General features: G+C 44.2%; 1 protein-coding gene across 15 annotated transcripts in view, besides 1 other annotated feature; it reads left to right on the forward strand.

Annotated features, from left to right (window-relative positions):
* The window catches only part of PALM2AKAP2 (PALM2 and AKAP2 fusion), a 531,726-nt gene that overhangs the window by 445,673 nt on the left and 73,129 nt on the right, over window positions 1-12,924 (forward strand). The gene's annotated exons all lie outside the window — the stretch shown is intronic.
* Window positions 6,348-6,517: an enhancer, noted in NCBI's record as "experimental_104629 CRE fragment used in MPRA reporter constructs". NCBI's record gives its function as "activates a minimal promoter by MPRAs in K562 erythroleukemia cells, with activity observed for both the introgressed and non-introgressed 9:112855172 variant alleles {active_cell/tissue: K562}" and the evidence as "EXISTENCE:reporter gene assay evidence [ECO:0000049][PMID:34662402]".

The following is a 12,924-nucleotide window of genomic DNA, read 5'->3' on the forward strand; positions in this document are numbered from 1 at the left end:
GAGGCAATTCCTTGAAAAGCTGCAGAGAATGACTTGTACCATTTGCTGACTTTCCAAGATGGCATTTCTTGCTGGGGCTCCACTGATTATTACTGTTGTACCTGTGGGCATTGGGCTCATGACCCCATAGGTGCGTGTGTGTACATGCACATGCATTAAGTTGCAAAGTCAGTCTAAATGACTTGACTATCAACCTGTCTTTGGCAGCCATATCACTTTTGGCCCAGTTGGCACCATCAGGTTTCTGGACACAGAGGCAGTATTTTCCATCCCTGTCCTACAGAGTGTATTTGTCTCAAGTGTTATGTACTTTTCCAGTTTCTTTGCCCCCAGTAAATCTCTAGGGTCATGAAGATCATTACAAAACAGATAGTCATTTCATCTCTCTTCTTAAAGCCTCTCACCCATTGCCCTAGGAAGAAGACCCCAAATCCTTGGCATTCAAAGCCTAGGTGGTCAATGATTTGACCCCCTACCCATTGCTCTGGCTTTATTTCTTGCCACTCCAGACTTCACTGTTTACACTCAAGTAAAACCAAAGTAATTGCAATTCTCTGTAAACACTACGCCATTCCATACCTCAGGTGACTTTGCTCTTGCTATCCTTCCTGCCTGGACTAACTATCTCACATCTCCCTGTCACACCCAACTCCCAATTCTCTCCACCATGCTGGTCCTTCTCTCTAACATGGCTAACTCTACCCCACTTTAAGACTCAGCTTTATCAGCCCTTGCTATGAGAAGCCTTTGTTGATCACCCCAGGAGGAGAAAGGTGTCCCCTTTTGTGCTCTCCATCAAGAGCATCACAGAACTAATGCATCATCTTAATACTATTAATGTGTCTGATGTGTCGGAGAGGCCCCAAAGGTTTGAGGACCATGTTTGTCTTGATCACTGCACAGTACCTGACCCAGCTCATTCCCAGTAGGGCTGGGACTAATCTTGCAGGTCTTCACAGTTGCAATCATTTGTTCAGAGGTGGCTCTTCCCCAGTCTATTACAGAAGCCTCATGTCTATTCTTGGAGAGTCCCAAGACCATGGCCTCTAAGGTTCCAGCCTTATCGTGGTTTGGAGGCTCCTTCAGTTCCTTGTCATTTGAATGCAGAACTGGATGCTGTGAATGAGTTCTAGAACATGGTTCCATGGGGCAGAGTTCTGACTTTAAAAAAGCCATTTACTAACCAAGCTGCATGGATTTCTCTTTTCCCATTTCATCAAGGAAGCACCCCGGCTAGGTGAGCTGGTTCATTTCATTCATTGACTCAACAAATATTTACTAAGTGTCTGCCATAGGCCAGTTACTGTTCTAGGCATGTAGGAGACAGTAGTGAGGAAGATGGATGAGGTTTCTGTCCTCAGGGACCTGAGATCGTAGAGGAGGGAAGCAAACACAGAGCCATTTGGAGTGGTAATAAGTGCTGAGAAGGGAAGAAAGGGAATGTGGGATGAGGGGGCTGCTTAGATGTGCTGATCAAGGGAGGAGGTCTCTGAGACAACAGCATTTGTATTGTATGGTTCTGAATTGCAAAAAAGAGCTGTTCAAATTGTTATCAGTGGAGGGTGTCCAGGTTCTTGGCATCTTGAACAAAGAATTGGACAAAATGCACAAACAAAGGAAGGAAAGAATGAAGCAACAAAAGCAGAGATTTATTGAAAATGAAAGCACACACCACAAGGTGTGCCTTCACAAGCAGCAAGCAGCTCAAGGGACTGGTTACAGAATTGTCTGGGGTTTAAATACCCTTTAGAGATTTCCCATTGGTTACTTGGTGTATGCCCTATGTAATGAAGTAGTGGCTCATGATTAGTCTGATTGGTTGCAGGAGGGGACCAATCAGAGGCTGAAGTTACAAAGCTACACCCTATGCAAACATCTGATTGTGGAAAGCAACCAATCAGAGGCTGCAGTGAAGTTACAAAGTTATACTTCTATGCAAATGAAGATTTGGCCCAAGGCCAACCTGATTGGTTGTGGGAAGGGAGCAATCAGACATAATTTCAATTTTTCATCTGCCACACAAGAAAAGGGTGGGGGATTTGCAAAGGGAGTAGTTCTGGTCCTTTTGTTACTTTGGTGTGGAAAGTTGAGGTTTTCCTTTTGATTCAGTTCTAGGTAGTCAGCGTGAATTGGCTTTAGGTTCCCTGCCTCTAGACCCTATTCTCCTGCCTCAAAATAAAGAGCTATATAGCTGCACTCTCCAGCCACTGGCCACAAGTAGCTATTAAAGTTTGCATTTACGTGTTTTTTTTTTTTTTTTTTTTTTTTTTTTTTTTCTGAGACAGAGTGTCACTCTGTCGCCCAGGCTGGAGTGCAGTGATGCGATCTCAGTTCACTGCAACCTCCGCCTCCCGGGTTCAAGAAATTCTCCTGTCTCAGCCTCCCAAGTAGCTGGGAATACAGCTTCAAGCCACCACGCCCAGCTAATTTTTGTATTTTTAGTAGAGCTAGGGTTTCACCTTATTGATCAGGCTGGTCTGGAACTCCTGACCTCAGGTGATCCACCTGCGTTGGCCTCCCAAAGTGCTGGCATTTCAGGCATGAGCCACCGCGCCGGCCTACAGTTTGCATTTAAGTTAACTAAATACAATTTAAAAAATCAGATCCTCAGTCACACTGGCCACATTTCAAGTAGTCAGTAACCAGCCTATGGCTAGGAGCACCATAATGGGCAGTGCAGAGCAATAGGGAGAAAGGGCACTGGGGAGGCGGATGGGAGAAGCAGTAAGAAAGGGAAACTAGATCACTTGTTGGAGAGCACATGTATGCATTTCAAAGAACTGCCTCCTTTAATTTCACTTGTTGAAAATGGGGCTGAAGCCAAGACTAGTTATGTCTGATAGAATGTTTTAAAGTGGAATTAAAATGATCTCTAGAGATAATATAAAGCAGGTAAAAACCAGCCATGAAAAGATCTTTATTAAGGAATATGGCATGGCTACAGCAAGTCCTGAGATGGAGATAAGTACTAGTTGATTCCAGGGGCCAGTGGATGAGGTCACAGTTACCCCTTGGCCTTAGAAGGAGGAAGCCAGACATCCTAACTCTGACACCAGGAGCATACTTTACCTAAAATCTTAAAGACAGGACAATGTTTAAAAAAATCCCTTCTTAACACAATTCTTAACAAAAATAGGATTTTGACTTTTGTGTCTTAGGAGGCTAGAATTGTATTCTCATGCCATTACCAGGAACGGCTGTGCCTTGACTTCATTTTGTATCGTGTTTCACAAGATGCTCATCCCTTTTTGCACCTGCCTCTTTGCTAAACAGGTTTTCTTCCTCTCTGTAAAGGTGCCTTTGTTTGAACCAATAGTGTTACTTCTCTTTACTGTAAACAGTGTCCAGTGACTCTTCCTTATCGTGGAGAGCCAGCAGCCTTTTACAGGAGGAGAAAAGTCTTGAAGGTCACTTTCTGATGTTTACATTATAAGTCATCATGACTTTAAAAGATGAAAACTAAAACAACAACAACAAAAAACCACAACTGCCTACTGCTTACCCAGGGCATGTTATCCTATTACATTTGAATTCAAGTAACAGCTAGTATTTGTCAAATCATAATTGATCTGATAAAATGTAATCTGATCATTAGTAGCTGTGTAAACGTAAATACACTCGACTCCTGTTTCATTTGCCCTTGAAGGCTGTAACATGGTTCCAAAGTGTACCTTTGAACCGGAGAAGTCGGGCCGGTTCACATTGCAGCCTGTGTGCTTCCTGGGGCAGCGTCCACCAGGTGTGTGCGGGCAGGTACAGGATGCGAGCTCAGTCCTGCTTCCCCTGAAATCCTGTGACCTGGCAGAGGGCTGTGTTCCTGTGTCCTTACATCGGATGTCCTACTGAAGAAAGGGAAACTGGGACGAAGCTGTAGGCACAGTGGGTTCTGAAGATCAGATATAACTGAGGGAAAGTTAGGTCATGATTGCCACCTGGATGCTGTTCTCTCTCTTCACGGTAGGTCTCAGTTACTTTTACTGTGGACTTTTGCTTGCTGCAGAGGGAACTTACACCTTTCATGCCTCAAGCTCATTAAGGCACATTTCTCTTTTATTCTTCAGGGACATTGCATTTATGAACTCAAGGCATTGAGTCACCCAGAGAGAAAAAGCATATCCCAAACATTTCAGTTTCTGGGAGTTCTAAAAAGCTAATGTTGTGTTCCCATGGCCAACATTTCTTTAAGAGAGGTAAAGCAGAATAACTCTAGGTCTATAAAAATGCTGATCTGCTTCAAGTTCTAAATTTATTGTGAATTATTTATTTTTCCCTAGTAATTACTGTAATACCTTAGTACCTTCAACTTATATAGCATTTTTCAAGGAGGCAAAGCATCAGTAGAAATGTTCTCTGGGATTTTTTTACCTGATGTTTTAATGCTGTGATGATTTCTCAGCCCCTTAGTAATAATGTTAGATGCACTGTGGAAAAACTAGGCACGTAGCTGTTAAGCTGGGAATGTATGAACGGTATACATGCTATGCTTTAAAATCTAGCTCAATTTTTTTTTTTTTGCATTGACCTTGAACATGCTGACAACATAGGTCGGCATGGGTAAAGCTAAAGAATGGCCTTAGGGTTTGAAAACAACTACATGAGCTCTGTTTCAGACCTGCTGCTAGTCGGGCACTTGGCACTTTGCAGGGATTTGGGGCAGGTTTTATGTTTGTGTGCTTCTCTTAGAAGTCAAAGAGTTGGTGAGGTAACTGCAATCCTGTCTATATCAGTGTAGTGATAATGCAGTAGTGTAATGAAGAATGGAGCTGCACGTGTGAGGTTTTTCAAGTCCACAAAGATCAGGTATTGTCTACGGTCAATAAAGATTTTTTTAAAAAACCCTCTTAACTAAAGAGAGGTAACTTCCTTTTCAAAACTCTGAAATTTACATGTGCTGACTTATAATGTGTGTGATCCTCGTTGCTTTTCTGATCCTTGGTGGTTGGGGTGTGTGTGTGTGTGTGTGTCTGTGTGATGGGCTTTTTAATCTTTGAGATTTATTCTTTTTTTTTTTTTTTTTTTTTGAGACAGAGTCTTGCTCTGTCGCCCAGGCTGGGGTGCAGTAGCACGATCTCCGCTCACTGCAATCTCTACCTCCCGGGTTCATGCCATTCTCCTGCCTCAGCCTCCCGAGTAGCTGGGACTATAGGCGCCTGCCTCCACACCCGGCTAATTTTTTGTATTTTTAGTAGAGATGGGGTTTCACCGTGTTAGCCAGGATGGTCTTGATCTCCTGACCTCATGATCTGCCCGCCTTGGCCTCCCAAAGTGCCGGGATTACAGGTGTGAGCCACCGCGCCCAGCCAAGATTTATTTATTTTTTACTTACACATAGTGAAATTCATTCTTTTTGCTGTACATCTCTATGAGTTTAGATAAATGCTTACAGTTGAGGAAACATCACCACAATCAAGATAAAGAACAGTTCCATGATCCCCTAAATATATTTTGCTTCAAATTTCTATTGGCATGTTTGAGTATCAAGTTTACTACCACTTCTGAAGATGGAGCCAAGCCCTTTTGTAACAAATAGCACAGCTGTGTCTGACACTTTTCATGTGAAAGGTTGCCTGAGATGTCAGAAGTAAGATCTGGCCAGTTGCAGTGGCTCATACCTGTAATCTCAGCACTTTGTGAAGCCGAGGCGGGAGGACCACCTGAGGTCAGGAGTTCAAGATCAGCCTGGCCAACATAGTGAAACTCCGTATCTACTAAAAATACAAAAATTAGCCAGGTGTGGTGGTGCATTCCTGTAGTCCCAGCTACTTGGGAGGCTGAGGCAGGAGAATTACATGAACCCGGGAGGTGGAGGCTGTAGTGAGCTGAGATTGTGCCACCGCATTCCAGTCTGAGTGACAGAGTGAGACTCCGCCTCAAAAAAAAAGAAGTAAGATCTGATTGACTTATCCTTTTCTCAAAGTTATAAATGGGAAAATTGTACAATCTGAATATTGTTTCCTTGTATTTTAATTAATGAATGTAGAACTGTGTAATGTATTATATGCTTTTTTAAACCCAAAGAAATTTGTAATAAATACTTTAGTTAGTAAAAAGAATATACTGAAAGTGAAAAAAGTCAATTTTTTGCACTTTAGATTTTTTTTTAAGTGAGCTTAGTTCTGTGTGGTTTTAAGGGCAGTGAAATGCTGTAGAAGGACTGTAATCTGCATAACTCAAACTGGCTTAATAAGTGGAATTTATTGGCTAATATCACTGAAAGGTAAAGGTACAGGGATAGACTTGAGGCATTGTGGGATCTAGAAATTCAAACGATGTTATCCGCCTCTCTTTCCCCACTCAGCTGTGTTTCCCTCTGTGTTGGTTCTATTCTCTAGTAGACTCTTGCTTGCTGTATCAAGGTGACTGACAGCAGCTTCCGGCTTTTATTCTACTTTCTCAATTCCGTACAGTTCCAACAAGTCTCAGAATGGGGTCTCATGGGCTCTGATTGCTTCTCCTGCTCCTTATGACCCCCAGGGATGGGGTGGGGGTGAGCGGCAGTGCTCTGATTGGTCAGACTTAGGTCACCTGCTCACTCCTAGAGCTGAAGGAGTGAGAGCTCCCCCTAGACCACGGTGCAGAATGAAGGTAGAGAGTGGCAGAAGAGGTGGTTCTTTAAGGGAAATTGAGGGACATGTATGTCAGATCAAGAAAACACATGTCCTCTGCAGGGACGTTCAGGCCATGTAGCCAGTTGTTGTCTTTGTTTTTAAATAATTTTTATAAACACCTACCCTAGGCTAACCTTCCAAATAAGCAAAAGTTTCAGAATTGATAGTTGATTGATTGATTGTTTTATGGCTTATGAGATGACAACTGTTTACTGGATGTGAGATGTAATATTTTGGGAGGAAAATAGTGGAAATTGAGTGACTGCGGGACTCGGCTAAGATGGGTAGATGGGGCATGAGGAGAACTGGTCCTGTGTCTGTCAAGGGATCAATGAGTAAGGAAAAATGGGCTTCAAGGACAAAAAGCCAGGAGAAAAGAAAAAGAAGATACCAGAGATTGGCAATTGACCAAAAATTTAGCAAGATTACCATTGCTGAAATAGCAGAAATATTGTCTTGGATAGAAATGCTATCAGGGACATTTAATGAGAATTTATGAAGATTCAAGGCTGGCATAGCTACTCTAATCATGTGAAGAGTGATTGCATCTAGAATAAAGCCCAGATTCCCAAACCTGACATTTGTGATCTGGGGCCCATCTCCCTCTCCAGGCTCATCTCCCCTGCTGCTGCCTTGCACCTTACAACGAGCTGTTTGTAGTCTGGAAGGCATCACACTACCCTGTTTCCTTCACTATTCATGCTCTCTCCTCTGCCTGGAATCCCTCTCCCGTTGACCAGACTCATCTTTTAAGACTCAGTTCAGATGACAGTTTCTCTGAGAAGCATTCTTTGATTATGCCTCTCTGGCTTAAGAATTCCTCTTCTATACTCTCGTGATACCTTGTGCGTCTTTCCCAGTGGTCTCAACTGAGGGCTGTTTTGTCTCCAAGGGGACATTTGGCAATGTTGGGATACATTTTTGATTGTCATGACAGGTGAGCGCTACTAGTTGGTGGAAGCCAGGGATGCTGCTTAATATCCTTCATACAGCACACAGGACAGCCCCAACAAAGAGGCACCTGGCCCCAAATGTCAATAGCACCGCTGTTGAGAACCCTGCTTACCATTGCACTGGCAACATTGTTGGATACATCTGTTTTTAGTCTTATCTTCACCACTAGGCTGAGGCCCATGTGTGTGATCTGCATCTTTGTATGTCTAATACCACAATGCACCACTGTAGGGTAGTTCCTCAGGAGAGAATAGTTTAAAGATGATTGTATACATTTTCTTAGGATAGTGACCAATGAACAAGGCAACTGGAGGCCGTACTCGTCTTTGCGCTAGGTAGCCTTAAACTTGAGGCTCTCTGTATTAGTTAGTTCTCACATTGCTATGAAGAAATACCTGAAACTGGGTAATTTATAAAGACAAGAGGTTTAACTGGCTCATGATTCCACAGGCTGTATAGGAGGCATGGTTCTGGTATCCGCTCAGCTTCTGGGGAGGTCTCAGGAAACTTACAAACATGATGGAAGGCAAAGGGGGAGTGAGCACTTCATATAGCCAGGGCAGGAAGAAAGGGAGTGGGGAGGTGCTACATACTTTTAAACAACAAGATCTTGTGAGAACTCTATTATCGGAATAGCACCACGGGGCGGGGGGGCGGGTAATCTGCCCCCATGATCCAATCACTTCTCACCAGGCCCCACCTCCAACATTGGGGATTACAATTCGACATGAGATTTGGGTGGAGACACAGATCCAAACCATATCACTCCTTTATCTTGCCATGCCTTTGTCTTCTCACTCTTCTGCAAAAAGAGCTTTGGGGTTTACTGTAGCAAATAATGGAAAACATTAAAGAAGTATTGTTAGCATAGTTCTTTTGCTTTCAATTTTTACCTAAGTTATTGTCCAATTTTACATTCTGAATGGTGAACTGGGTGGCCTGGCCACACTATTTGGCTGCCTCTGGCAAAAACTTCTGCCCTCACTTCTGACCATTACATTTTCCCCCTACCGTATGTGTAGTACTCTGGATTGGTAACGTTTGATGGGAAAGAAAACAAAATCAGAAAGCAACGATTCTGAGAGCAGGAATAAGGAATGTTAAGTCCCCTTTTTGACGGCTGGGCTTTTTTTCTTATGCCAAGTTTAAGTGCAAAGCAGCAGTTCCCTTGTGCCCTGGGACTTTTGCCTAGGAACAAGGGACTGCCAGAAAACCTCAGAAAATCCCCATGGAGATGTCTCTGAAAACCATGTAAACAGGGACATTGTCTAAGTGGGTCATCCTGAATATATGATGCAGGATGGAAACCTATTTAGTTATTGAATATTTCAGATTAAGAGGACACCGCAGCCTTGCTTTGCACAATCTTGCTAGCTTTGTGAGTTTCACTGGGGATTGGAGGGGAGGCCCGCCTTCAACTTGAGCTGCTTGTGTTTTGGTTGGTGGTAATGCCTTAGAAACAGAAAGGAGCCAGCTCCCCTTCAGCCACTCAGGCTTCTGCCTGGGTTTCCTTTTAACCCTGGAATTTCATGTGGACCCTCAGCTATGAAAACAGATCACATATGGCCTGCTGTCAAGCATAAGAATTGCCTTTTTGTTCTTGGGGAATTGCACAAAGCAAGTAGGAGACGGGGAAGAAGACCGTTCTAAGCAGGAAAATATATTGCATTAATTCTTCCCTTCCATTGCCTCCTCCCCATCTTGTGCTATATTCTGGTACTAGGACTTTTGCTTTTTTCTAGGCTGAATCACATTTGGCCATAGCAGAGGAAAAGTGATAGCTGTTAGGGGTCTTGGAAGGAGTATTGAGTTCCTAGAGTGGGACCATCTTGGCCAGGCCGCTTCTTGTCCTCTTTTGGGGCTGGGACTGGTATGATGTTGAAGTAGCCCATCTCTAAGTCTTCCCCTCCTCCCTGCCAGCTTAATTGTGCAACATTGTTCAATCAAGTCACTGAATCATCAGCCCTGTGATATCTACAAGCGCATGCATGTGTCTGAGTGAAGTGAGCTGGGCAGTTCCATGATACCCTTTTCTATGTATGGAGGGTGAGGTGTTTCTCCTTGGTTTACCCTGACCAATTTATTATTACTGTTCCAAAAAGGAAACTGCATGATTAATGTCAGAATCAGGTCCAAAGGCCTCTGGCTCTGGTGATGGCTAATGTGATTTGGATCTAGATTCTGTTTAATAACCTGCCAAAGGCACCTAGCTCTTTCTCTTTTTTTGCTGTTTTTTGTTTGTTTTGATTTTTGTCTTTATAAGACAGGGTCTTGCTCTGTTGCCCAGGTTGGAGTACAGTAGCAGGTTCATATGTCACTGTAGCTTCAACCTCCTGGGCTCAAGCGATCCTTCCATCTCAGCCTCCCAAGTAGCTGGGACTACAGGAATGCACCATTATGCCTGAATTTATTTATTTATTTATTTATTAAGATGGGGGTCTTCCCATGTTTCCCAGGCTGGTCTTAAACTCCTAGGCTCAAGTGATCTTCCCACCTCAGCCTCCCAAAATGTTGGGATGACAGGCATGAGCCATCACGCCTGGCCTTGGCTCTTTCTTCTGTCCCCTTGGTGGGGACGTTGGGGTGACCCATATGTGGTACATGGCAGGTAATGTTCTTTTCATACTAGCCAGTCTTCTGTTGTGATTCCACTGTGTGTAAGATGTGTCCAAAATGAGGAGATGCATCCCCGCACCTAGAGGTGTACAGTCTAGTGGTCTTTCTGCTCTTCCTGCTTTTTTCTGGGAAAGAGACTTTTTGTGGGGGGTTGGGGGGGGGTGAGTCCAGGACAGCAAGTTCATCATAAATGCAAATGGGAAGGCTATTGATATTTTTATTCATAGCATGAATGATGTAATAAATGAGTCACGATGTCAGCCTCTTTTAACAGAATCACAGAATTTTCTTTTTATTTATTTATTTATTTATTTATTTATTTATTATTTTTTTTATTGATCATTCTTGGGTGTTTCTCGCAGAGGGGGATTTGGCAGGGTCACAGGACAATAGTGGAGGGAAGGTCAGCAGATAAACAAGTGAACAAAGGTCTCTGGTTTTCCTAGGCAGAGGACCCTGCGGCCTTCCGCAGTGTTTGTGTCCCTGGGTACTTGAGATTAGGGAGTGGTGATGACTCTTAACCAGCATGCTGCCTTCAAGCGTCTGTTTAACAAAGCACATCTTGCACCGCCCTTAATCCATTTAACCCTGAGTGGACACAGCACATGTTTCAGAGAGCACAGGGTTGGGGGTAAGGTCACAGATCAACAGGATCCCAAGGCAGAAGAATTTTTCTTAGTACAGAACAAAATGAAAAGTCTCCCATGTCTACCTCTTTCTACACAGACATGGCAACCATCCGATTTCTCAATCTTTTCCCCACCTTTCCCCCCTTTCTATTCCACAAAACTGCCATTGTCATCATGGCCCGTTCTCAATGAGCTGTTGGGTACACCTCCCAGACGGGGTGGTGGCCGGGCAGAGACGCTCCTCACATCCCGGACGGGGCGACAGGGCAGAGGCGCTCCCCACATCTCAGGCGATGGGTGGCCGGGCAGAGACGCTCCTCACTTCCTAGATGGGATGGCGGCCGGGAAGAGGCGCTCCTCACTTCCTAGATGGGATGGCGGCTGGGCAGAGATGCTCCTCACTTTCCAGACTGGGCAGCCAGGCAGAGGGGCTCCTCACATCCCAGACGATGGGCGGCCAGGCAGAGACGCTCCTCACTTCCCAGACGGGGTGGCGGCCGGGCAGAGGCTGCAATCTCGGCACTTTGGGAGGCCAAGGCAGGCTGCTGGGAGGTGGATGTTGTAGCGAGCTGAGATCATGCCACTGCACTCCAGCCTGGGCACCATTGAGCACTGAGTGAAGGAGACTCCGTCTGCAATCCCGGCACCTCGGGAGGCCAAGGCTGGCGGATCACTCGTGGTAAGGAGCTGGAGACCAGCCCGGCCAACACAGCGAAACCCCGTCTCCACCCAAAAAATACGAAAACCAGTCAGGCGTGGCGGCGCGTGCCTGCAATCGCAGGCACTCGGCAGGCTGAGGCAGGAGAATCAGGCAGGGAGGTTGCAGTGAGCCGAGATGGCAGCAGTACAGTCCAGCTTCGGCTCGGCATCAGAGGGAGACAGTGGAAAGAGGGGAGAGGGGAGAGGGGAGAGGGAATCACAGAATTTTCAAACTGGTTTAGCATGCTGGCTCTGCAGCCAGACTGCCTGAGCTCAAATGTCAGTTGACTTTTCTGTAAAATGGGATAATAATAGTACCAGTTTCATAGATTTGCAGGAGATGTGAGATTACATGAATTCACTTATAAAAAGTGCGTGATACTTAAAGCCATGTTACCTTTAAACTTCCAATCCATTCATTCATTTATTCAACAAAAACTACATACTGTGATGGTTGCACAAGCCTGTGAAAATACTGAAAACTAATGTATTGTATACTTTAAAAGGGTGAATTCAATGGTATGTAAATTAAGTATATCTCAATGAAGCTGTTTTAAAAAAATTAATTGATTACCTATTATGTGCTGGACACAGCTCTTTTAAACTGAGGCCTAGAGCAGGTGACTTGCTCAAGGTGAGTGAATGGCAGAGATAGTTCTAGAACTCAAGTCCTCTGACACATCAGCCAAGCTCTTTGCAAACTGTCAGGGATCCAAATGAAGATCGCAATCCAGATTGGAAACTAAAGTCACTTTCTGTCCTGGTATAGAACCAAAGTTTAACTTAAGAAAGAATCGTGACGTGACCTAAGGACCTTGGCATTCTACTTCACCACCTCTCTCTGCAGGTATTCTCATTTCCACGCACCTCCACATTTTCGAAGACTTCAGACAAATATATCACAAATAACCTATATAAATTCACTATATGAAAAGCAGGCCAACATTTCCACCCCATCCTTCCTCTTTCCCCCAGCTCTGGATATAAAACACATATTTTTCAGTTAGATTTTTTCAGTTAAGTGATTACTTTCAATTCCCCTGTTTTTGGCATTTAAAAATGTTCACTTCTTATTGCAAGACAGGGACAGTCTTTAAAGATTTTTCTGCTCACCACCACTACCAAAAACTAATAACAAATTTTGTCTTCATGGGGAAGAAAATCTTACTCATTCTTGAGATTTCACAGCCATGTCTAAAGATCTAGGCTATATAAGAAGAGAGGAATGCCTTAGAAATGTAATGCTGTTTTTCCTACGGAATCAATTTCTGTAGAAATAGAAACCATGGTGCATCCAGAGTTACCCTGCAGCCTTCTGCTCCTGGCAGCTTGCTGTGTGTTCTCTGCCACATGCTTTCTTCTGGGATTTCTTCCTTCTACTGACATCTGGTACTTAGGATAAGGGAAAAGGCTTTCCC

This window comes from Homo sapiens, chromosome 9 (genome assembly GCF_000001405.40).
Source record: "Homo sapiens chromosome 9, GRCh38.p14 Primary Assembly".
NCBI lineage: Eukaryota > Metazoa > Chordata > Mammalia > Primates > Hominidae > Homo > Homo sapiens.